This window comes from Homo sapiens, chromosome 16 (assembly GCF_000001405.40).
Source record: "Homo sapiens chromosome 16, GRCh38.p14 Primary Assembly".
NCBI lineage: Eukaryota > Metazoa > Chordata > Mammalia > Primates > Hominidae > Homo > Homo sapiens.
In genome coordinates, this window is record NC_000016.10 from 2569658 (window position 1) to 2595353 (window position 25696).

The 25696-nt window shown below is 52.3% G+C and overlaps 1 protein-coding gene across 11 annotated transcripts in view, besides 1 other annotated feature; it reads left to right on the forward strand.

The window, feature by feature from the left end:
- The window catches only part of PDPK1 (3-phosphoinositide dependent protein kinase 1), a 65168-nt gene that overhangs the window by 31637 nt on the left and 7835 nt on the right, over nucleotides 1-25696 (forward strand). For 10 of the 11 annotated variants that reach the window (XM_047434200.1, XM_024450296.2, NM_002613.5 and 7 more), the window contains 5 exons: nucleotides 7768-7843; nucleotides 11638-11706; nucleotides 11950-12046; nucleotides 13755-13928; nucleotides 17019-17236. In XM_047434200.1, coding sequence (XP_047290156.1) covers nucleotides 7768-7843; nucleotides 11638-11706; nucleotides 11950-12046; nucleotides 13755-13928; nucleotides 17019-17236 — 634 coding nt within the window. Of the gene's footprint in view, nucleotides 1-7767; nucleotides 7844-11637; nucleotides 11707-11949; nucleotides 12047-13754; nucleotides 13929-17018; nucleotides 17237-25696 lie in introns of those variants that run through there. The other variant, XM_047434202.1, reaches the window with a different exon arrangement.
- Nucleotides 15587-16088: an enhancer, noted in NCBI's record as "H3K4me1 hESC enhancer chr16:2635245-2635746 (GRCh37/hg19 assembly coordinates)". NCBI's record gives its function as "activates a minimal SCP1, AML or CMV promoter by ChIP-STARR-seq in naive H9 embryonic stem cells {active_cell/tissue: H9 hESC(naive)}" and the evidence as "EXISTENCE:reporter gene assay evidence [ECO:0000049][PMID:30033119]".

The window sequence follows — 25696 nt, forward strand, 5'->3', positions numbered from 1 at the left end:
TTTATGTGGCGGATTAATTTTAGTAACTTATTTTCTGTTTGAGGTAGTTCAGTATCTTGGAATTTATTCCTGCGTTGACTTCTTTTGTGCAGAGATGGCTTCCCCAAAACACCTTCAAATCTAGAATAAAAGTGTTGATGGGAGCAAGGCATAGCGAGGTTCCTTACCCGCGCAGCAGCTGTGCCACGCCCTCCTCCTAGAGGGAGGCAGGTTTTCCCATCGTTCCTGTGGGGTGGGTAGGGTGGCCCCCGTATCTGCAGGGGGAGGTGGTGGGAGATGGAGCAGGGCAGTGGTGTGGGCTTGGGAGATTGAGGAGGACCTCCTGGCAGAGAGGGACTTCTGCCTCCTCTCCTTGTACAGGAGCCTGTGGATGTATCTTGGTGAGGGCAGCTGACTCAGAGTAAGCTTCCCACCTGGGCTGTCTCTGGCCTGTGCCCTCTATGCAAGAACCTTGGGGAGCTCGGGGTGTCCTTGGAGGTTCAGACTTGGAGTAGGGTTTGGAAACCTGTGTTCTGACCTGTGCAGGCCTTTCTGGCATGCAGCCAGGTGTGGAGGCAGCACTCACCAAACAGGAAGGAGAGGAAGGCCACAGGTGTGGGCAGGGCTGGGTGGACAGGGTGGACGCTGTGGGCTTCAGGTGTGGGCGGGGCTGGCTGGAGAGGGTGGATGCCGTGGGCTTCAGTCACTACAGTGGCTCCTCTGTCCTCATCTGTGCATGGCCATCGTCCAGACCCTCAGACTAGCTGCCGTTGCGCTTCCCACTGTGCTGTGGACTCCAGACGCTCTCCTGAGGGCCACAGCTGCCTTGAGCTTGCCGCCATTCTAGCTTAGGCTGGATCACCCACCCCCGGCACAGAGAGGAGCTGCCTTCAAGACGGATTTTCCTGCATGATGGAAAGTGGAGTTTGCACAATAAAAGAGAGAGTCCCCATTCTCCCATCACCAAGAGCAGCTCTTCCCATCTTCACGTGGTTTATTTTGGTCTTTTCCAGATTGGCATTCATTTAGGATTGGCTATGATGCATGGGGCTGGGGAGAATTACTGCTTATTGTAAAAAATTCACTCGGTGCTAGTGACCTGATGCCCAGCATCCTCAGTGGGTTTTCCCTGTAAAAATTCCAGTATGTGTCGCTAAAATACAAATCTTTTTAAAAGCGTAACCACAATACCATACTGTTTGATATGTAAAAATGAACGGTAATTGCTTAATATCTCAAAGTGTCCAGTCAGAGTTATATTTCCAGTTGTCTCATGTACATCATAATGTTTTGTTGCTCACTTGAACAGGATTCAAATAAGTTTTGCACAATTTCATTTTTAAATTTTTTCTTTTTCTTTTGCCATTAAATACTCTCCTATCCAAACACATGTATTTTAATCTGTAGCTTCCCCCATTTTTATTTTTTCCCTTGCAGTTTGTTGAAGAAACAAGTCATTTGCATCTGTGTGGCGTTGTTGAACATGGTCCTCTCTCCTGGCCACTACATCACATTCAGAGTTGATTCTCCCCTCCCTGTTCAGAGACTGGTGGTGGGTGTTCTTTATCCGGCATCTCTCTGTGACAGCAGCAGCATTTGTGGCCATAATTGGCCTAAATTCATGAACTCATTAGAGAGTGCAGAAAGGTCACAGCCTGATACATTCATGAGATGCAATTCATTAAAGAGCAACTTCTCCCCAGCAACTTTTGGGTTGACTCGTGGTATCATCTGTAAAAGAAAAGTAGGATAAATGCTTCTTTCCCCTTTTCATGCCATTTTTGAAAACCACACATTGGTTCTCCATTCTCTTCCAATGATGATTAATTCATTAAAAAAGTTATTACCCTTCCTCACACCATACACAAAAGCTCACTCCAGGGCCAGGCGCGGTGGCTCACATCTGTAATCGCAGCACTTTGGGAGGCTGAGGCGAGTGGATCACCTGAGGTCGGGAGTTCGAGACCAGCCCGGCCAACGTGACGAAACCCTGTCTCTACTAAAAATACAAAATTTATGGCTGGGCGTGGTGGCTCACGCCTGTAATCCCAGCACTTTGGAAGGCCGAGGCAGGCGGATCACCTGAGATCAGGAGTTCGAGACCCGCCTGACCAACATGGCGAAACCCTGTCTCTACTGAAAATACAGGTGTGTTTTTAGCTAGGTGTGGTGGTGCATGCCTGTACTCCCAGCTACTCAGGAGGCAGGAGAATAACTTGAACCTGGGAGGCGGAGGTTGCAGTGAGCCGAGATCCACACTATTGCACTCCAGCCTGGGCAACAAGAGCGAAACGCCATCTCAAAAAAAAAAAAAAAAAAAACCAAAAAAAAAAACTTAGCCAGGTGACTCCTGTAATCCCAGCTACTTGCGAGGCTGAGGCAGGAGAATCGCTGGAACCTGGTAGGCGGAGGTTGCGGTGAGCCAAGATCACGACACTGTGCTGCAGCCTGGGCAACAGAGGAAAACTCCATCCCTGTGCCTCCCATCTCCCCGCCTCACCAAAAAAAAAAAAAAAAAAAAAAAAAGGGTGACTCCAGGCCGGGCGCGGTGGCTCACGCCTGTAATCTCAGCACTTTGGGAAGCTGAAGCGGGCAGACCACTTGAGGTCAGGAGTTCGCGACCAGCTGCCCATCTCTAGTAAAAATACAAAAATTAGCCAGGCATGGTGGTGTGCGCCTGTAATCCCAGCTATTTGGAGTGGGGGCTGAGGCAGGAGACTCACTCGAACCTGGGAGACGGAGGTTGCAGTGAGGCGAGATCGCACCACTGCGCTCCAGCCTGGGCGGCGGAGTGAGACTCCATCTCAAAAAAAAAGTTCACTCCGAATGCGTTAGAGGTCTGAATGTAAGGGCGAAGACTATGACACTCTTAGAAGAAATTATAGGATTAAATGTGACAATTGGGTTAGGCAGTGTTTTCTTAGATACACTGCCAAAAAAAAGCATAAGCGACCAAGAAAAGGATGAGTTAGATTTATATCAAGTTTAAGCACTTTTGTGCTTCAAGTGATATCACGAAAGTGAAGAGACCCACCAAACAGGAGACACGATCTGCTAATCATCTACCTGATATGGGACTTGTATCCAGAATGTAAGGAACTCAGAGGGAGAAAAAAAAAATAAAGCACGGAACAAAGGGTATGAGTAGACATTTTTCCAAGGGAGAGATACACAAATGGCCCATAAGCACATGCAAAGTTCCTCAACGTTATTAGTCATTAGGAAAATGCAAATCAAAACCACAGGGTGATACTACCTCACACCCACCAGGAGGGCTGTGATGAGAAGACAGATAATAACAAACGTTAGCAACGACGTAGGGGACTGGAACCCACGTATGCTGTGGGTGGGAATGCCAGAAAGTACAGCCACTTTGGAAAACAGGCTGGCAGCTCCTCAGAAGGAAACAGAATTACCATATGACCCTGCAGTCCCACTCCTAGGTATGAACCCACAAGAAATGAAAACACACATTCAGACAAAAACAGGTGCTAGAATGCCCGTAGCATCATGCACAGTAGCCAAAAGGTGGAAACGACGCACGTGTCATCGAATGAGTGGATGAACGAGTGGCGTGTCCACACGACGGGGGAATGTTCTCCAGCCCTAACGAGGGATGAGGCGCCCATGCACGCTGCCATGCAGATGGGCCTTGAAAACACTGCCCTCAGTGAAAGCCTGCCGGGATCTGAGAAGGGATGGCATCGAGTCTAGAGATGAGCTTACGAGGCGTTACCATTGTTAACCCACGTTAAGTCTTCTGAGCCATCACCATGGGCTGTCTTTCTGTTTATTTAGATCTTTCTTTCAAAAACACTTTGTAGTTTTCAGAGTATAAGCTTTATGCGTCTTTTGTGACATTTATTCTTATTTGTTTTTAATGTTATTCTAAATAGAGTTATTGGCCGGGCACGGTGGCTCACACATGTAATCCCAGCACTTTGGGAGGCCGGGGTGGGTGGATCACCTAAGGTCAGGAGTCGGAGACCAGTTGAGGTGGGAGGATCGCTTGAACCCGGGAGGCGGAGGAGGTTGCAGTAAGCTGACCTCAGACCGCTGCACTCCAGCCTGGGCAACAGAGCGAGACTTTGTCTCGGGAAGAAAAAAAAAAAAAATAGAATTGTGAATTTTCTTCCCTTTTTTTTCCTTTTTCTGTTTTTATTTTTTTTTTTTTTGAGACGGAATTTCGCTCTTGTTGCCCAAGCTGGAGTGCGGTGGCGCGATCTCGGCTCACTGCAACCTCCGCCTCCCGGGTTCAAGCGATTCTCCTGCCTCAGCCTCCCGAGTAGCTGGGATTACAGGCGCCCACCACCACGCCCGGCTAATTTTGTGTGTTTTTAGTAGAAACGGGGTTTCACCACGTTTATGGATAACATGGTCTTGAACTCCTGACCGCAGGTGATCCGCCTGCCTCGGCCTCCCAGAGTGCTGGGATTGTGAATTTCATTTCTGGGTTGCTCCTGGAAATTGTGCGGAAATGCAGTTGGTTTTTCCCTGCCCCGCACCCTGCTGAGCTCTCGTTAGTGGTAATAGCTTCTCAGTGGAGTCCGCAGGACTTTGTGCACACAGGATCCTGTCATCTGTGATTCGAGCTAGTTTTATTTGTTCCCTTTCAACCTGGCTGCCTTTTGTCTTCTTCCCTAATTGTCCTGGCTGAGACCTCTAGTTCGGTGTTGGCTGGATGTGGTGAGCCGGGCGCCCTGGTCTTAGGGAGAGCGTGCGGTTTTTGACCATCGAGCATGATGTTGGCCGTAGGCCGTGCGTGCCCTTTGTCAGACCCTGGGCCCTCCCTTCTGTGCCTCGGCTATTCCATATTTTTGTCCTGTAGAGGTGGGGAATTTTTGTTAACTGCATTTTCTGCATCTGTTGAGATGATCCTGTGTTTTCCTTAGTGCTTTATTCTAATGAGATGCAATGCATTGCTTTTTGTATTTTGAACCAACCTTGCACTGTGTCATACATCCTCTTGGTCATGATGCCTAGTCCTTTCTAGACGTTGCTGCATTTGGTTTGCTGGTGTTTCGTCCAAAGGGTAGTCACGTTTTGCGGAGCGTTTTTCTGTGCTTCTTTGTGGGTTTATGGATAACATGGCAGCCGGCACCCTTGGCTTTGAAGAGAGTGTGGGTGTCTCGTGAGCTCAGGATCACTTCTTCAGGTCGTCCCTCCCACTGCCCCTCCAAGTATGACTGGCAGATCTGGGGGACTGTGGGTGGTCCATGGAGTTTCTTTGATGAGGGTGGAGACAACAACCCAGACAAGATCCCACTGTCTCTTTCCCCAGCGTCGGTAGTCCCGTGGCATGCGGGGGCATCAGCAGCCAGTGCGGGGCTCTGGGCCTGAGTTTCCAGCAGCTGGAGGGGCGTGAGCTTTGGCCAGTCTCTGAGCTCCCAGGGAGAAGTAACTAGGTGGTCTCTGAGATTTCCTAACGCTGTGTCTGGGACTCTGAGCTCGGATGTCACAGATAGAAGTCAGGGGATCTGTGAGGCTGGATAGGAGGAAATTACTAATTTTCACTAACCTTTCAGCAAAGCGTACCATTTCCTTCCATTATGAACATCAGCAACAAACATCTGTCATCAGAAGTCACAGGTGTTCCCATGTCCTGCCGCAGGGGTCACGTCACGGTAGTGACGCCATGCCAGTTGTGCCGAGCACCGCTGCCGGGTTCCTGCGGCGTGACCTGCTGCTGTGTCGTGCAAGTCACATAGTACTACATCACAGATCCATTCCTTCAATAATTTGATACGTGTATTGGATTATAATTGCTTTCTCCTACAGTCCTGTGTATTTTATGCATTTGGAACATTATTCCGAGGGTAGCCATCTTCTCCACGCTCTAGCGGCGCTGTCTGTCTCTGGATTAAACTAAGGACAGGTGTCCTTTTCCAAGGGGGTGACTTTGCGTATGCCCAGAGGCTCGGAGTCCCACCTTCAGGAAGGTGTGGCAGAGGAATCGAGGGTGAGGGTGGGCAAGCCCTGAGGAAAGAAGGGAGAGGGGGAAGACCCTTGGGGAGCTAGGAGGAGCTGAGGTTGGAGAGGGCAGGGAGGGATTCCAGGAGATCCGAGCCCGTAGCTCGCTTGCAGGAAGCTTAGAACAGCAGCAGCAGCAGCGAGGGTCCCGACAGCACGGCAGGTCACTATGTAGCGCTCATCCGAGAGATAGGGTGGGTGTTGGCCTCACGGACTTGCTCCGTGCACGCTGTGGCTGTTTAAAAGCACATACGGCTCCGCGTGCTGCACGACGACCTCAGTCATTTAATTATGCATTATATACATCTCTCCAGAGGACAAAAACCTAGACTTTTTAATAATGGCATTTGAAAAAGTACAAGTCACAAAAGCAACACTCGATGATAGTAAAGAACAGAAACGCCGAATATGTAGGTGGAGCAAGTGGCGTCCCATCCCGCCAGCAGACGCGGCCCTCGTCGCTGTGCCACGCCGGACCCTGAAGGACAGAGCATGGAGAGGGAGCTGCAGGGTCTGGGAGGCAAACATCTTTGTGACTTCTGATGCTCATTGGAAAGTTGCCCCCAGAAGCGACGCCATTTGACAGCCCCACCCTTAGCGCTGCGTCTGTCCCCTCAGATCCCTGCCAGCGCTATGTATTTTTATTCTTTTTTCCCTTTGCCAGTGTGATAGGCTGTCGTGTTTTAATTTGCATTTCTTTGATTCTTTGCAGGGTTGAATGGCTTCGTTTGTTTTTGGCCCTTGGTTTGGTTGTCTTTCCTCTAGGCCGGCAGGGGCGGGGTGCGTGTTTGCGGATGTCCTTGGTGTTCTTGGCAGGATCACTGAGGGTCCTGGCAGGATGCAAATGCAGCCATGAAGTGTTTGTTTTTTGTTTATTATTTGAGACAGGGTCTGGCTCTATTGCCTAGGCTAGAGTACCGTGGGGCCATTGTGGCTGACTGTACCCTCAGCTTCCCGGGTTCAAGCGATCCTCCCTTCTCAGCCTCCCGAGTAGCTGAGACTAGAGGTGCACCACCATGCCTGGCTAATTCTTGAAATTCTTTCTAGACACGGAGTCTCACTATGTTGCTCAGACTGGTCTCAAACTCCTGGCCTCGAGCAGTCCTCCTGCCTTGGCCTCCCAAAGCAGTGGGACTGCAGGGGTGAGCCACCGCACCTGGGCAGTCATGAAGTCCGCAGAAAAGTCATTCACTGAAGGGATTGAGTCCCCGCAGCAGAGGCTGGGAGGTTCTCTCAGCGTGGCCGGAGGAGGGCAGGTGGAAGGGACCACTCAGAAGCGGCCCACGGGCAGGGCCGGTGTGGACAGCAGCTGCGTGGTGGCCCTGGGCCAGCTCGTGCTGTGGCTCTGCTCCGTCACAGCTCCTCTGTGGAGGAAGGCCCTTGGGCTGGAGGCCTGAGTCTTGTTCCCTTTGTAGCGCCTCAGCTCCCAAGCTGTTTGTGATGGAAAGGAGGTTTTTCTGGCCTGCAACTGTTTATTGTGTGCCTAGGCACGTTTGGATACCCCAGGTCCTGCAGTGAGCCAGCCAGCGCCGTGTCCTCATGCCCTCCGTTGAGCGGGCGCCACCGGCAGAATGTGCTGGCCGTTTGTGTGCAGCTCACTGTCCAGGCGCGTGTCGGGTGGGAGCGCCAGGGTGCAGGGCGCCGGTGTCCAGGGATCAGGCAGGCGTCTTTGAGCCGGTGAGCCATGAGCCAGCCCCGGTGCGCCCCGGACAAGTCTGGCTCCTGGGGGTGCATGGTCCGCCATGTGCGACACCCACCGCGCAGCCCTTGATTGTCACAGATCGTGAGTCCGAGTGTGACCTTCTCTCTCCTCTGCAGCCAGGGCCAACTCATTCGTGGGAACAGCGCAGTACGTTTCTCCAGAGCTGCTCACGGAGAAGTCCGCCTGTAAGAGGTAACCACTTTCATCTAAGCCGTGCTTCCCTTTTCTTTAACACAGAAATTAATATTTGAGAGAGTGAATTTGGTGGCCTTTAAGTAGCTAAGCATACTTGGGAAGAAATTAGCATTTCGCATTTTAAGGCGTATTTTCCGTGGCGTACACACACGTGATGCGTTAGTGTTGTGTTCTAAGCTTCCTGGGTTTGCTGATGCTTTCTGGTTGCAGATTGAATCGTTTGGGTTTTTTTTGTTTTTGTTTTTTTGTTTTTTGAGACGGAGTCTCGCTCTGTCTCCAGACTGGAGTGCAGTGGCACCATCTCTGCTCGCTGCAACCTCCGCCTCCCGGGTTCAAGCAATTCTCCTGCCTCAGCCTCCCGAGTAGCTGGGACTACAGGCGCACGCCACCACGTCCAGCTGATTGTTGTATTTTTGGTAGAGACGGGGTTTCACCATGTTGGCTAGGATGGTCTCGATCTCTTGAGCTCGTGATCTGCCAGCCTCGGCCTTCCAAAGTGCTGGAGTTACAGGCGTGAGCCACCATGCCCAGCCTGATCGTTTCTTTGGGAAAAACTATTGAGTGAGGAAAGCGTGGCTGCCGTGTGCACAGAGCCCAGGCTTCCTTGGTGCTGCCCCCCGTCGGGGTGGAGGGCAGGCAGCCCGGCCTTCGGGTTGCTCGGCCACACACCAGCTGCAGTGGGACAGCGTCCCGCAGAGCGCAGGGAGGCCCTGGAGGGTGCGGGTGTGGGAGGGAGGAGGCGTCCAGCAGGCATGAGGGTCTTTGAGAGACACAGCTGGGTCTTGGTGGCAGCCTCCATAGTGAAAAAATGAAAAAAGTGCAGATGGTACAGGGGCTGCAGGGCCGGTGCGGGTCAAGGAAGGGGAAAGTGGAGAAGCCCAGCCAGGGGACCACCGGCGGTGTGGGGGAGGATGTCCAGGGAGCTGACGGCAAGGGTTGGTGAGAAGTCTGAGGTGCTGTCTAGGGTGGCTGGGAGGCAGGTGGCAGGCTGAGAGGCAGCATCAGAGTCTGGAGTTTCAAGTCTAGGGAGCAGTTTTGTGGAATGAGGGTGGGGCTGGGGTTCCTCCTGCCCCAGGCCAGTCAAGTGCTGCTGAGGGCTGGGGTCAGCTTCGGCTGCTGGTGCTCTCGTGAGTCGACAGGACCACAGGAGTCCCATGCTGCCACTCTCCTGCTCCGCCAGGTTACAAGGGGCCACCTTCCTGGAGTGAAGTGAGCCACTCTGAGAGAATGAATGATTCTGGGGACGGCAGTTCTGGATTTCTGAGCTGGACAGCTTCAGGAAAAACTGTGGGAGGTGGGGCCGTGGCACAAACGTGATGGGAGGGTGGAAAGGCTCTGAGCACTCACTCAGCGTCTCGGCCGTCTCCAGGCGTTTTCGGTTTTGTTGTTTTAACTTTTTTCAACCAGCAGATACTGAGTTGTCTTTTCATTATTATTGAATTCTTTTTTAAAACAGAGATGGGGTCTTGCTGTGTTGCCCGGTCTCATCTTGAACTCCTAGGCTCAGGCGATCCTCCCATCTCGGCTTCCCAAAGTGCTGGGATTACAGGCGTGAGACATGGCGGCCGGCCAGATACTGAGTTCTTAGCATGGCCAGACACTGCTTTAGGTCAGAGCTTCCCAACTGGAGTGATTCTGCTCCCCAGGGGACACTTGGCCCTGTCTGGACAGTTTTAGTTGTCACAGCTGGAGCAGGGGTACGGCTGGCATCCAGCGGGGGAGGCGAGGATGAGCTGCTCAGCATCCCGAGACCCAGAGGACAGTCCCTCCCACAGGTGGGGGGTGGGCGGGGGGGGGGCGCGACGTACCCGGCTTTCAAAGTGCTTGTCGTCGCCACCTAAGAGCTAGCGTTTCCTCGTTTGTAGATTTTACTTTCAGGGCGGAGGGCCACTTTAGCATTGGTGCAGAAAGATCTCCAAGCTCTACGAATATACGCATAGGATCCTGCCCTCTTCGAAAAAGGAGGAATGTGTATTCACGTTTTCTCGTTTGCGCGTTTCAGGTTCTCTGGAGGGATAGACACTGAACGGATGATGGTAGTTGTCTATGGGGTGAGGGAACAGGTTTATGAGGAAGGCATTTCTGCATCTCTTTTTATGCTTTTGAATTTTTTAATCATGTGATATTAAACATAGTTAAGAACTTTTATTATAAAGAATTGAAAGAGGCCGGGCGTGGTGGCTCACGTCTGTAATCCCATTACTTTGGGAGGTTGAGGCTGGCAGATTGCTTGAGGCCAGGAGTTCGAGACCAGCATGGCCAACGTGGCGAGACCCTGTCTCTACTAAAAGTAACAAAAATTAGCTGGGCCTGGTGGCGAGCGCCTGTAGGCCCAGTTACTCGGGAGGCTGAGGCGGACGCAGAGGTTGCAGTGAGCCGAGATTGTGCCACTGCATTCCAGCCTAGGTGACAGAGTAAGACCCTGTCTCAAAAAAGAAAAAGAAAAAAGAAAAAAAAGAAAAGAGAAATTAATTATGAAGAGGTCTTAGAAAATAAATCTCCAAACCCACTTATAGTCACAGATAATAATTGGGCGTACAGGTATATGTCTTTCCAGTCATTCTTTCTGTGCATTTTATAGCTGTTTGCGTGGCTTTTATGCCATTCGAGTCACGTTGGACAAGCAGTTTTGAGCCCTGCATGATTATATAATGGGCGCTTCCCCAGGTCATTGGAATGACTTGTGGGTGTCTTGATCAGTGTGTGGTTTTCTGTCGCATGAACAGATTGTGGTTCATGGGCCTGTTTCTGTACTGTTGTGCGTTGAAGGGGTTTCCATGGATTCACACACTGGCGTGTGTCTGATGCGCCACCCAACCTGCATGGGCAGGAGGAGGTCTCTTTGCCTGGGGTCAGGGTGGGGGTGCCCTGTTCTCCCTCTAGTGGGCGAGACGGGGTCTGCTGGGCTGAGTGAGAGGCCGCCCTGAATTCCTCGGTGTGGATTTCAGGAAGTGGCATGACTTGTTCTAACTGAACGTTTATTTGATACGCCCTTGGTACATGTGTTTTCCAGAAGTGTAATACTGGCTTCCCCTTCCATTTTTGTATCGTATTAAAAAATACGTAAATTCTAAAGTAAGTGTTTATGATAAAACATTCGATAATTCACAGAGGTGAAAAGCTACCCCCAGAATCCCTTTCTGCTTGAATTCCACGCTCTGGAGAGGACCCCGTGAGGGTCCAGGCACAGCTCTGCCCCCGGCACCCCTCTTCTCTCTGCTGCTTCCACACTGAAAGGCGGAGGCTCTGCTGCCTGTTTTCTTTTGTTGCTCCCCATTTTAACTAAACACTAAAGAAAGTCAAGTGTGAACGTCGCGGTCATTCATTTCGCCTGTGCCGCACTTTCCTGCCCCGGCGAGCCCTCCGCCAGCACTGACCGGAGGGCGCTTCCTTCAGCTTTCTGGGTTGTCTCACTGGAACAGGGTCAGCCCCATTCCCTCCCATCCTGCCCCCTGCCTGGTCTGTAGCCACGTGGTGCCAGGAGTGAGCTCTGCTCTGCTTCAGGATGACAGGCGTGTGTGGACGTTGGTAAGCCCTGTTGGAAGCCGCGAAGCTTTGGGCACAGCTGAACGACCGCCGGTGCCTGCCGCGTGCACACCCTCTGGGCCCAGGCCGCAGGGAGGCTTCTCCAGAGGGCGGGTTCCCCACCCTCACACCCAACTGGTCTGAAAGGATAGAAGCGCATTAGAGGTGAAACTGGGGCCTTGGAGACAGAGTGGGAAATGGACTGGGCTTGTCGCTTGTATTTTACACATGTCTTTGTTTGTTTGTTTGTTTCCCCTACCTTAAAGTTCAGACCTTTGGGCTCTTGGATGCATAATATACCAGCTTGTGGCAGGACTCCCACCATTCCGAGCTGGGTAAGGAGACGGCGTTGCCTGGGCCTTGGAGCCTGTTGGGGTGCACCCCACCGGCCGGCAGTCCCTCCCAGCCTCGAGGTGGGTGGGGGAGGGCAGCACTTGGTGCCGTGCCCAGGTGGGGGGCTCTCGGCGTGCGGGGCCGGGGTGCGTTTGCCGTGCTGCGAGTCCGGGGCGCTCATCCCTGCGTGTGGAGGCTTCTGGGACCCTGCCTGGGATGACTTTTTTTTTCTTAAATTTTTACAGAAACGAGTATCTTATATTTCAGAAGATCATTAAGTTGGAATATGACTTTCCAGAAAAATTCTTCCCTAAGGCAAGAGACCTCGTGGAGAAACTTTTGGTAAATATCGTGAATTTCCTTTTAGAAAGGTGATCCGGGACACCCTGAGTCCTCTGAACCTGCTTTCTGAGTGGCTTTCCTGGAGGCTCCCGTGTTCACAAAAAATGGTGTTTTTAGGGTTAACAGTGAGTGTGGATCATTACACCTAGTCTCGCCAGACACATTGGCTCACGCCTGTCACCCCAGCACTTTGGGAGGCTGAGGCAGGTGGATCACCTGAGGTCAGGAGTTTGAGACTAGCCTGGCCTCTATGGTGAAACCACGTCTCTAGTAAAAATATAAAAATTAGCCGGGCATGGTGGCGGGCGCCTGCGATCTCAGCTACTTGGGAAGCTGAGGCAGGAGAATGGTGTGAACCCGGGAGGCGGAGGTTGCAGTGAGTCGAGATCGTACCACTGCACTCCAGCCTGGGCGACAGAGCGAGAGTCTCAAACAAACAAACAAACAAACAAAACCCAAACGTTTTGAGTACTTATTGTCACTTCTCAGTATCTGCTGGAGAGCACCCCGTACTGTTCCCCGCCCCCCCGCCCCCTCCATCCACCGCAGAGCAACTGGACGGGGAGGCAGGCCCTGGGATCCTGTGCTGCCCCTCAAGGCTCGGCCCCTTTCCTCGCACAGGTGAAAAGGAATCTCAGTCTCAAAACACAATGAACAGCAGCAAGGATTCTTTTACAGTGTATAGTTAAAAATCCTAAAACAAGAAACACTGAGTAATTAACAAAGGGAGCGAATCATCACTGGGACCAGCACGCTCCTGCGCTTGTGGAGTGGGTGTCGCTGGGACCCTCGAAGGCCGCAGAGCTGTCTCCTCCAGGGACTGATCAAGCCCACACCCCAGCCCAGGGGAAAGAGGTGAGACAGGTTGGGAGAAGCCAGTGGCTGTGGAGCCTAGCGATCCCGGGGCCACCTGCAGGGGCAGGACTGAGCCCGCTCCCAGAGTCGTGGTAAGGAGGGACGTCCAGGGCCAAAAGCACAGGAAGGTCAGGAGACTTCTGTTTCTAGAATATAAACTGATACACCTTTCCCAGGCTAACCTCTCTTCTCTGTTTTACCTGGGCTGGTCGTTCGAATTTTCATGTAGCTGACTCTAAAGCTGAAATGTACAGATGTCACGAACTAGGGTCTGCAGCCATCTGCGCTGTCATAACCCCAGTCGCTCCAGCACCAGTAACTTAAAATGCTGTGCAGTGTTGAGCAAATGCTAAATGGTACAGTAATTTCCGTTGATTTCTAAATTTTAGTTTCTTTTATTATTCCTGCTACAGTCATTTCCTGTCAAGAATCAGGCACTTGGAAATGGAAAGGGACTTATGATGAGATGAGATAAATATATATTTTTTTTTTTTTTTGGAGATGGAGTTTTGCTCTCGTCGCACAGGCTGGAGTGCCATGGTGCGATCGTGGCTCACCGCAAATTCTGCCTCCCGGGTTCAAGCGATTCTCCTCCCTCAGCCTCCCGAGTAGCTGGGATTATAGGCGTGCACCACCACGCGCAGCTGATTTTTATATTTTTAGTAGAGACGGGTTGTCACCATGTTGGCCGGGATGGTTTCGAACTCCTGACCTCAGGTGATCTGCCCGCCTCAGCCTCCCAAAGTGCTGGGATGACAGGCATGAGCCACCGTGCCCGGCTACCAGGTTTGGGTTTCTTTGGTCAGAATCACGTTTTCACCCTGGCAGTGACTTGTCTTGATTGTTACTTAAGGTTTTAGATGCCACAAAGCGGTTAGGCTGTGAGGAAATGGAAGGATACGGACCTCTTAAAGCACACCCGTTCTTCGAGTCCGTCACGTGGGAGAACCTGCACCAGCAGACGCCTCCGAAGCTCACCGCTTACCTGCCGGCTATGTCGGAAGACGACGAGGACTGCTATGGCAATGTAAGCTGGCCGGGATGGCGGGCGAGGCAGGTGGCACTGGGTCCTCCGTGCACTGGGCTTCATGCCCGTGCGCCAGACCCACGTGTGATTTGTAGCCGAAAGGGGAGGGTGTCTGTGCCACTGCGGCAGGCCTGCTGGTGGTTGTAGTCTTTGCTGCCGTGAGGCAGTGGCGGGTGAGGTGCTGGGTGGGTCATTTTCTCCTCATTTCCGTGGCCGTGGACAGGCTAGTGAGTTTCCACCCACAGGGTGCCGCTAGAACCGGACGCCGAGCACCCCCGGCACTGGCCCCGGGGTCCCACGTACGGGGCCTCCTGCCCGGCCTGTCGCATCTGCGCTTGGCTTGGTGCTTGTACAACTGTGCGGCCAAGATGCTCCAGAACACTGCCTGTCTTTCCACAGAAACCCCCGAGTGTTGTGTGCTTGAACTTTTGGGACGTGGCGTTGGTGGGGACACTGGTACCTTCTTCAGTGCTGAGTAGGCTCTGAGGCTGCTGGTCTCCCAGCTTGACCACAGCCATGGGGTCTTCAGCACGCTTGGCTCTTTAAGCTTCTCGTAGAGAGCGTGGACCATGTGCCCAAGGGACCGAGGGTGTTGTGAGAGGCAGGCATGTCGCCCACTTCAGCCTTGTTTCCTCTGAGTTCCTCTTGCCACCTCCCCCGTGACCCCCTCGTACTTAAGTGCTGTTATCATGAGATCCATTTTTCTGGTTTGACTTCTGTCGCCATGGCTTATTCTAACTGGCACCGTGTACGGAGTTCCACTTTCCATGACTGAGGAAGTCCAGATTTTGTTTGTTTTGAGACAGGGTCTTGGTGTGTCACTCAGGCTGGAGTGTAGTGGCGCGATCTCGGCTCACTGCAACCTCTGCCGCTGTGGGTTCAAGCGATTCTCCTGTCTCGCCCTCCCGACTAGCGGGAACTGCAGGTGTGCACCACCATGCCCGGCTAATTTTTGTATTTTTAGTAGAGACAGGGTTTCGCCGTGTTGGCCAGGCTGGTGTGGAACTCCTGACCTCAAGTGATCTACCCGCCTCGGCCTCCCAAACTGCTGGGGTTTTAGGCATGAGTTACTGCACCCAGCTGGGAATTCTAGATTTTATCTAAAAGTCATCCACAGCTAAATTTCTGCTAGTGTCAAAGTTTCCCAACGCCCCTACCTGCTGTGTAACGCCCCTCATCCTCCCGACATCCTTTGAGCCCAAACTCTAAGGGAGCCAGGCTTGGGGAGCGGAGTCTGTGCCGCTTGATGTGGCCACCTGCAGCTTTCATGTATGCAGAGGCCTGGGAGCCTCGAGGCCCTTGCCCCCACCCTGTGTGCCACTCAGCTGCTCCTGCGTGGTGTTTGGTTACGGCTGGCAGGTGCCACGGGGCTGCAGTGCTCTCCCTGCTGGGCCTGCTGTTGCTGCAGAGGTTTTGCTCGCGACTGGCTGGTGGCCGTTCTCCCGTGGGCTCTGTGCTCCATTGCTCCCAGGGAGGTAGCTGGGCTCTGAAGGAGCAGCACAGGCTTCAGTTGTCTCCAGTCTCAATGCCTGGGGAGCTTCTCTGAGTGTGGGGGTGTGTGTGCTTGCACTTGCCGCATACCTGTGCAGGCCCCTGTGCCTGGGCCTACTGAGAGCTGGGGCTGCTTGATACGTGGCTTCTGTTGCCGTCTGTGAAGCCAGGCTCCATTTGTTGGCAGCCGCCTGTTAGATGGCCCATCCTTAGCTCTGCACAGCTGTGTGGTTTGAAAGCCTTGGAGTGGGTCCAGGCAGGGAGCTCCCAGGCCAGACCTCACACGGGGACAGTGAGTGAGTCTTGGCAAACGGTGTCAAGCATGGAAGGAGACTTCAGGGCTGTACCTCCTCCCTCCCTGCAGGGCCGCACCCCCTCCTTCATGGGGAATGGGCACTGGGCGTCCCCTTCAGCCAGGGAGGTTGGCCATGGTACCTGCCCTTGGGCCAAGGCAGGAGAGCAGGTGCTTCGTTGGCTCCTGCTCTCCTGAGGTCCTGTAAGTGCCGGGGCAGTGTGACCATTGGGCAGTGTTGGAGACAAGCAGGCTGGGCAGGCCCACACCCCGTGGAGGGGTCGGCGTGGAGGGGCCGGCGTGGAGGGGCCGGCAGCGTCGGGCGTTTCCACCATGCCCGTTGGCGAGCACCTTGCTCCAGCCCAGCTGGGTGCGAGGCTTTAGGGCTGTGAGGCGGGGCTGTGGTGCAGCTGTAGGAGTGTGAACACATGGGGGACGCTGCATGTGTGGATGGTTGCGTGGGGCAGCAGCCAGGGCCTGCGTCTGGAGGCACGGAGGACGTGGAAGGGCATGCCGCACTCTTATCCTAGCCATTGCTCGTGGCACCTTTTCTTTCCCCTTGTCCTTGGCCTCCACAGAGCTCAGATGTGGGGCCTGCAGCCGGGGAGGTGGCTTCCCTTGCCCAGGGACTCTCTGGCCTTGGCAGTGCCAGGAGCGTGTTAGTGCACAGGCTGTGTCCGCTTGGCACGTTTATGAGTGAGTTTCCGTTGTCGACACTAGCTTGTCTTTTTCCTAGAGTAACAGGCAGCGTTATCTACAGTAAGTTTAGTTTATCTTTGCTGGGATTAAGAGGAATGTCTTTTAAACAATTGAATGTGTTTAGTCAAATCAAAATATTTAGCATCTACCACAGACTCAGACTCCTAAGACACCTGGGGCCCAACAAGGTCTTGCACGGAGGCCCTGTCTGCCAGCCTGTGTGATGGATCTGCCACCAGGCCTCCTTGGGCCCCTTCTCTTCCCAGCAGGCATCCCAGCCCCCACCTCCGGGGGGCAGCACTGGCATTCACGGGGCCCGCAGGGTAAGGGCCCAGGTCCCCTCTTCCTGGAGAGGAAATCTGAGGCTTCGCCCCTCTCTGGCCCTGATTCCCATGGGAAGAGGAGCCCGACCAGGCAGGATCCAGTGAGGCCTCGGTTCTGTGGCCAGGTGTCCCATGGAGGAGAATCAGGGCTGCCCACCCTGTCGCCTTGCGCCTTGCTGTGTGCGAGCTCCCAAGGCCTGACAGCGGCAGTGCGGGAGGGGCTGGGGTTTTAGGACCTTAGAGGCAAGTGAAGGTGCGGTTCTCACTTTCCCTTCTTCTCTGCAGTATGACAATCTCCTGAGCCAGTTTGGCTGCATGCAGGTGTCTTCGTCCTCCTCCTCACACTCCCTGTCAGCCTCCGACACGGGCCTGCCCCAGAGGTCAGGCAGCAACATAGAGCAGTACATTCACGATCTGGACTCGAACTCCTTTGAACTGGACTTACAGTTTTCCGAAGATGAGAAGAGGTTGTTGTTGGAGAAGCAGGCTGGCGGAAACCCTTGGTAAGAACTTATGGACATAAGCAATGCTTTTTGCAGAATTGCAGCGTGAACACGTGGGGGCTTATGGTGGGTGCCTTTGCCTTGTCACTGCCTCCCTCAGCAGCCTTGGACGCTTGGCCAAGGAGCACATCGTAAGTGCACAGTTGGAAACAGGTGCTTAGGAGGCAGCCGGCCCAGGGGCTGAGTGGGTTGTGACCGCCGGGCGCTCCCCTCCTCTGCCGGGCATTTGGACCTGCTGGTTGTGGCCATGGAGTCACTGTGGTATGGACAGACGCGGCCTGGACCTGGCCACTTGGGAGTTTATGAGGTTTGCTGTTGTAGCCCCTCTTTTCCACATAGCTTTCCCCACTTGTCCATTTATGTCTTCTAAGGTGAGTGCCAGGGGCAGTGTGTGATGGAGGGCGTGCGTGTTTTCAGGGCTGGGGATCTGTCGCGGGGGCGCCAGGAATCTGCCTTTCCCAATGCTCTTGCCTGCCTGAGAGTGTTTTGATGCTCCAAAAACAAACTTGTGAATTTCTGTTTTATTCCTATTGAGGCAGATGTCTCCTGTGTTCATGACCATTTGTGTTTCTTTTTTGAGGTACTTTGTGTCCTTTGACTATTCTTTCTTGTATATTTTGCATCTTTTTTTTTGAGACAGAGTGTTGCTCTGTCACCCAGGCTGGAATGCAGTGGCGCGATCTCAGCTCACTGCAACCTCTGCCTCCTGGGTTCAAGCAATTCTCCTGCCTCAACCTCTCAAGTAGCCGGAATTACAGGCACCTGCCACCACACCTGGTTAATTTTTGTATTTTTTGATAGAGACAGGCTTTCCCTGTGTTGGCCAGGCTGGTGCCTCTTTTTAACATGGATTTTTAAAAGCCACGTGTATGGAGACTATTCCTTGTTGTATGTTTTGCAAACATTCTTCAGTTTCTCTCCAGTCTCGATACTGTGTTTTTGTATGGAAGCTGCAAATTCTTACCAAGTCCATCCTGTCCCTATTTATATTTTATGTTTTCCATTTTAATCTGGTAAGACGGGCTTCCCCCCTAATATTTTTACCTGCTTTTCCCTTTTGTGTGGGCAGAGAGGAGCCCAAGGGGGTGGGGAGAGGGCCTTGCAGGAAGGCATGCTGGAGTGGAAGCACAAGACGAGGGGGAGTTGAGGGCCTGGCTAGGCAGGGACAGGACACATGTGACTTGAGAGACTTGTGGGGAGGAATGAGAGGAAGGAGCTGAGCTCTGGGCCGCCCCGGCAGGTGGGGAAGACCACGGCTCTATGCGGTTCGCCACACCTGTCTCTAGAAAACCTGTGCAGAGATGCTGGCAGGCAGCAACAGTCTACAGCTAGGGGCTCTGAATCACACCTAGTGTGATTGCTAGAGATGTTAATGTGTACTGAGCAGGAGAGGAGGGCTCTTGATGGGAGCAATCTGAGCCGTGCTGTGCTGCGCAGCTCCAAGCAGCAAGGAGGCGTGTGCCTGGCTATGCAAGGAGCTTCCCGGGCTCGTGTGTGCTGGGGTCCCCACGAAGGGCTGCTGTGGCCACTCCAAGTACTTGGCCAGGAGCGCTCTCTCTGCAGATCCCAGCTGAGAGGTGCTGTCTGCAGGTGTGTGTGTGTTTCAGCTCCTTTGGTGACTCCCAGAAGAGGCCCCTCTGCCTGGGGCTGTTCTTAGAGGGCCTTGGGGTCCGTCTGGGTACCTTAGCCTGGTGATGGCGGCAAGTCAGGATACACATTCTCCTGCCTGCTTCCTTTGTCTTCAGGTTTCTCTTTCCCCTTCCCACTTCCTTCAGATTTTAGGTCCTTTTGGGAAGCTGATGACTCCTGAGATCTTGCAGGATCTGTCTGGCTGCTGGGAGGTCTGTCCAGCACCTGCTCTTTACAGTAGTGGTTTGCATTCTCAGTGTGTGGCCACCAAATCCCCGAGGTCAGGGCAGTTTTTTTTGTAATACTAAGATGTTATTTGCCTTTTTGCTGTCATTCTCTGTGCGTGTATGGTGAGTTTTTCAGTGGTCACATGCTGTAGAATGGAATCTGCGTGCTTTTGGTCTTTTCTAAGGTCATAGGTTTTTGGTATCAATATGTTTTGTTTTTTAAATGAGAGAGAGTCTTGCTCTGTCGCCCAGGCTGGAGTGCAGTGGCGTGATCTCTGCTCACACAACCTCCGCCTCCTGGGTTAAAGTGATTCTCCTGTCTCAGCCTCCTGAGTAGCTGGGATTACAGGCACATGCCACCACGTCCAGCTAATTTTTGTATTTTTAGTAGAGAAGGGGTTTCACCATGTTGGCCAGTCTGGTTTCGAACTCCTGACCTCGAGTGATCTGCCCACCTCGGCTTCTCAAAGTGCTGGGATTTCAGGTGTGAGCCACCGCGCCAGCCAATGTATGCATTTTTTGAGATTAATATTCAATATTTCTACTGAGCTCTTACTATCTCTTCATTTATACCTGCTATAGCCTCTGTAATTTTATCATCCACTGAATCATTATTTTGAAATCCTGAAGTTTTCCTTGTGCCTACATGAGAATACGGTAAGTTAAGTTCAGGATCACACCTGTAATCCCAGCACTTTGGAGGCCAAGGTGGGTGGATCACTTGAGCCAGGAATTCGAGAGCAGCCTGGGCAAGAAACTGAAACCCTGTCTCTACAAAAAATACAAAAATCAACCAGGCATGGTGCTGCACACCTGTAGTCCTAGCTGCTTGGGGAGGTTGAGGTAGGAGGATTACCTGAGCCTTGGAAGTTGAAGCTGCAGTGAGCAGAGAGCTTGCCACTGCCCCCCAGCCTGGGTGACAGAGTGAGACCCTGTCTCAAAATTGGAAAAAAAAAAAAAAAAAAGGTAAAAGGAATTTTTAAATTTACATGGAATAGTTTACACTTAAAAGGAACATTTCAAAAATATGTGTGATGAGCTCTTTAAAATCCAATGTTGTTTGTAACAGCTTTTCAGACAATAAATTAAAGAGTCACTGAAGCTCTTAGAAGCTGCATTGTAGAGGCTGGAGAGGCCACACGGTAGCTGAGAGACAAAGCCTCCGGCTGCAGCACAGCCTCAGGCTTGGTCATCCTGTGCTGCCACAGTCCACAATGCAGTCGAAACTTGCTGGATTCAAGATACGACTGCAGGCACGAAGAGGGAGTTGACATGTCTGCTGCTGAGTTGTGCTTTTGCCTCACAGTGGATGAGTCTACAGACAGCCTGGACCTGTCGCTTGGCCTGTGTCCCCTGGCTTCTCATCACGGATGATGTTCTTTTTTTTTTGAGGCGGAGTCTCCCTCTGTCGCCCAGGCTGGAGTGCAGTGGAGTGATCTCTGTTCACTGCAACCTCTACCTCCTGGGCTTAAGCAGTTCTCCTGCCTCAGCCTCCCAAGTAGCTGGGATTACCAGGTGTGTGCCACCGTGCCTGGCTCATTTTTGTATTTTTAGTGAAGACAGGGTTTCACTATGACTTGAGGCCATGGCACCAAGCAGTGCCAGGGCAATAGTCATATCTTCACAGCACTCACCCACAGGAAGAGAGAGAGGAAAGAAACCAGTCTCGCTTCTGAGCCTTTGTTAAAAATGTTGAATGTTGTGAATACTTTGTGGGATGAAGTGGGAAGTATACAGAAGGGCACTCAATTCTGCCGCAAACATGAGTGTGCAGCCATCTCAGGGGAGACACGCTTGTGGCTGTTGGCCTGCTGTCCTCGCGGAGCGTCTGGCTGACGGGCAAACCGCCGTTATGCAGACTTAGCTATTTGGCCAGTATTTTTCTTGAAAATGATTGGAATGAGCTTGTTACTTTAAGGAAAACAACTGCCTGTATTTATGTCAGTGATAACATTGAAACCTTCAAGTGAAAATTGGAATTTTGGAAAACTTTATTCATTACTGTGAGCCTGATACCTTCCCAATAAAAGACTTTTTTTAGCTATGTTTTTTTGTTTGTTTATATTATTTTTTAAAAAGAAAGAGACAAGCTCTCACTATGTTACCCAGGCTGGTCTCGAACTGCTGGGCTGAAGCATTCCTCTCGCTTATGACTTCCCAAAGTGGTGGGATTACAGGCGTGAGCTACTGCACCAGGCCAAAAGTCTTTTTTTTTTTTTTTTTCTGTTTTTGAAACGGAGTCTCATTCTGTCGCCCAGGCTGGAGTGCAGTGGCACAATCTCAGCTCACTGCAACCTCCGCCTCCCAGGTTCAAGCATTTCTCCTGCCTCAGCCTCCCGAGGAGCTGGGATTACAGGCGTGTACCACCACACCCGGCTGAGTTTTGTGTTTATAGTAGAGACGTGGTTTCACCATATTGGTCAGGCTGGTCTCAAACTCCTGACCTCAAGTGATTCACCTGCCTCGGCCTCCCAAAGTGCTGGGATTAGAGGCCAAAAGTCATTTGATACATAGTGATATCCATGAATTGATCTGTGGAAACCGTAGAATGAAATTTGTCAACGTTTGGAAGCTTTACATCATTCAGCCCCCATGTATGACCCTATGAAATCACATGAGGGTAGAAGAGCCCCTAGTGCAGGGTAGATTGATGGTTTTTAGTGTCACGGTGTGTGGAAATGTATTGTTACGAGTCAGATTTCACATTGCAACCGAGCTTTAAGCAGCCACCACCTTCTGAACTGCAGTGTAGTGTCCAAGAAGAATATCCACAAACATCTACACTTATTCTTAGCCAAAAGGCCAGGAAGTGACTCCAGTCTCTAAAAAGGCTGAGTATACTCCTCCCTTTTCTAGCTGTTTATCTGAGTGAGGCTGGGTGTTTGCCGTGTTCTTCCGCCTGAACACAGATCTCAGCAGAGTATGGGCGCAGGTGGATGCGGGGACCCAGCACTCTCCTTATCAGCCGAACAGGAGAGGCCTGTGCAGCGCACAGAGTGGCACACTCTCCTCATTCATTATTTTTGTTTTGGAAAGTAGTTATTTTAAAAATAAAAGTAATGTATGTTAATAGTAATGGGTTTATTGTATTTTAATGAATTAAACATTTGAAAATGTCTCAGTTTTAATTTCCTGCGTAGTACATATCAGTTGATCTGAAAGCTCTTTGGGGTCTTCCACAGAGGTAAAGAGTGTGAGGGGCCATAGGACTGGAAGGTTGGAGAGGAAACCTGGGGCCCGTCCGCCATTGCCACTGGCTCCCGCCCTTACTGGCAGTGAAGCTGAGCCTGCAGAGCCCTCCCGAGGGGTGGAAAAGCCTCCAGCGGGGCTCTGGGTCCTTGCTGGGGCTCTCCTGGGCGTGGCAGGTGCTTTGCCAGTGGCTTTGGGCTTGGATCCTTGACAATGCTCTTTTTGGGGTCTGGGTGAGGGAGGGTGGAGGAGGTGGCAAGAACCTGCGCTTTGGCATCGGGAAAGGGGGTTTTCTATGGTCACCCCTTGTGGATTGCCCTGCATCCTCCTCTGTGCAGAGGTGGGGAGAGGTGTCGCCTGTTTTGAGGGAGCCAAGATGGCGGTGTATGAGAGTGAGGTGCCTCGGGAAAGTCCCGTGTGCATGGCGAGTAGTTAGGTGTGTCTCCAGGTCTTCAGCTCTTGCCCAGCCTCCCAGGGAGGAAAGGGCTCTCAGGGCAGGGGATTTTCTGCAGGAGACAGTAGAAAATCAAGGTGATTGCAGCCTGGCCAACATGGTGAAACCCTGTCTCTACTAAAATTACCAAAAATTAGCTGGGCCTACTGGTGGGTACCTGTAATCCCAGCTACTCAGGAGGCTGAGACAGGAGAATCGCTTGAACCCAGGAGGCAGAGGTTACACTGGGCCAAGATTGTGCCATTGCCCTCCAGACTGGGCAACAGAGCGAGACTCTGTCTTAAAAAAAAAAAAAATCAAGGTGATTCCTGGAAGTGCTCACAGCAAGGAGCTGTTTCTGTCGTGAGCTGGCAGGTGAATCCGCTGCACACACGCTGTGCTCTAGATGCCGCCAGTGGAGCTTTGCCCGCAGTCTCTGTCCATGCACCCTGGGCCACCGGGGAGTGGAATTGTCCATTTCATTGTCTCTCTCAGGGGATGCTGGCGCGGGGGTGGGTGGCGCCTGTCCGTGGGGCCCTTGCCTGCCTCCCCGTGGTGCTGGCGTGTTCTGTCACTGAGCCACTCTGGGGCTTCAGTGTCCCTGGCATGGGTGACACTGCTGGGAGTGCCTCTGGGCTCCTTGCCTGTGGCCTTTTTTTTTCTCAGGATGGATTTCTGGAAGCGAGGCTACTTCTCAGTACTATTTCCGAATCGCTTCCTCAGTGAGTCCTCCCCAGGCTGCAGGTGCCGAGCGGGAGCACCACTCCTGCACGCCCGTGCCTGTGGCATGCCCAGATGATCAGGGTGGAGCGGCCCAGCTCAATGTCTTCATTTAGGGCCATTGAGAGTTTCTTGTGTCACTGAATTCCTCTTCTGGGAATTTTTAGTTTGTGTCATTTTGTTGAGTTTTCTGTTGGGTTCCAAGCCTCTCGTGGCACTGTGAATTTGCTGTGGGGTGCAGCTGATGGCCCATGGCGGCTGTATCTGGAAGTCCTTTCCCGCCCCAGCTGTGGTCCTGGTGGTTTTTTAGGTGGAGGTGGTTTCGTCCTCTTTCCGTGGCTCCCACAGCTCAGTGCTGGGCTGCTGTTCTCGCTCTCAGCCAGGAAGGCGGCCCCTCCCACACAGGTTGCAGGGATGGGCTGCTGTGTTCTTCTGGTTTTTCTCTCCTTCGAGTTGGTATTTTAAACCATGCATCTCATCACCTCTTCTGGCACTTGCTGGCGTGTGGTGAAAGCTGAGGATGGGGAGAGGCCGTGGGGCCCTCTCCGTCCTCATCTGCCTGCAAGAGCTCTGACTGGCCTGGGCTCAAAGGGACCCTGTGCCTCCCACGCTGCCTGCCCCGGTGTAATTTATGATGAATTTTCCTTTGTTGTTCCTCTGCGCTGTTGCCTGGTCACAGGCCTGTCTGTCAGAGTGGCTTCCTGCCGGCTCTGTGGTCCCTCCAGGCATTTCTGTGCTCTATGCTTTCTGTGCTGTGGTGGGTCTTCCTCATCACATGTCCTTTTCAGGAACCTCCTTGATCTGTTTCTCTTTGTTTTAATACCCACATTGTGTGTGTTTGCAGGCGAAGTCCCTGGTGCGAGAGGAGGGCTGCACTTGCCCGCATGCCACACACTCCTCTTGCTTCAGACCCACAGGATGGGATGTGTGTGTGAGGCCAGGCCCTGGGTCCTCCCTCTTGGGGCAGGCCTGGGCACTGATCTGCCCAGGTCTGGGTGGGTCAGATGGTGGGGCTGGGTAAGCCCTGGGGGAAGATGCTGTGCCCCCAACTCGGCCAGTCCGGTCTTCTCACAAGTGCTGTTGGCCCTGTGTGCAGCCAGGCAGGCGTGTGGATGTGCTCAGATATTGATTTGATCATCTTATGCCTTCTTCAAATATAAAACATATTATTGGCCGGGGGTGGTGGCTCATGCCTGTAATCCCAGCACTTTGGGAGGCCTAGGTGGGTGGATCACAAGGTCAGGAGATTGAGACCATCCTGGCTAACATAGTGAAACCCCATCTCTGCTAAAAATACAAAAAATTAGCTGGGCGTGGTGGTGCGCACCTGTAGTCCCAGCTACTTGGGAGGCTGAGGCAGGAGCATCAATCACTTGAATCCGGGAGGCAGAGGTTGCAGTGAGCCAGGATGGCACACCACTGCACTCCAGCCTGGGCGACAGAGCGAGACTCTGTCTCAAAAAAACCAAACAAACAAACAAACTGCATATTATTTCTATAGTAGAACCTCAGATCAGGAATTTCCGTAAGATCAGATAGAACACAAACCAGTAACTGTTAGCTTTAACCACATGAGGTAAACTGCAGACATTAAAATAGTATCTTGGGGCCGGGCGCGGTATCTGATGCCTGTAATCCCAGCCCTTTGGGAGGCCGAGGCAGGCGGATCACTTGAGGTCAGGAATTCGAGATCAGCCTGGCCAACAGGGTGAAACCCCATCTCTACTAAAAATACAAAAAAATTAGCCTGGCGGGCACAGTGGCTCACGCCTATAATCCCAGCACTTTGGGAGGCCGAGGCGGGTGGATCACAAGGTCAGGAGATCGAGACCATCCTGGCTAACACGGTGAAACCCCGTCTCTACTAAAGATACAAAAAAAATTAGCTGGGCATGGTGGTGTATGCCAGTGGTCCCAGCTATTCGGGAGGCTGAGGTGGGAAAATGGCTTGAGCGCAGGAGATTGAGGCTACAGTGAGCTATGGTGGCGCCACTGCTCTCCAGCCTGGGTGACGGAGCAAGACTTTGTCTCTAAAAACAAAAATCTCTTGAACTTTTAGGAATCAAAAGTGACGTGTGCTTGCTAATAATGTATATTAAATTAAAGCCTCTATGTGAATCTTGCTCTTTGAATTTCTGCCGTCTCTGAATAAAAGTGTTTTACTATGATGGAAAAACCAGAGGAGATGTTCTTACGTCCAACTTGGGTCTGTCAGAGCTTTGTGATTATAAACGGCTCTGTGGATCCTGAGCACTGAATCAG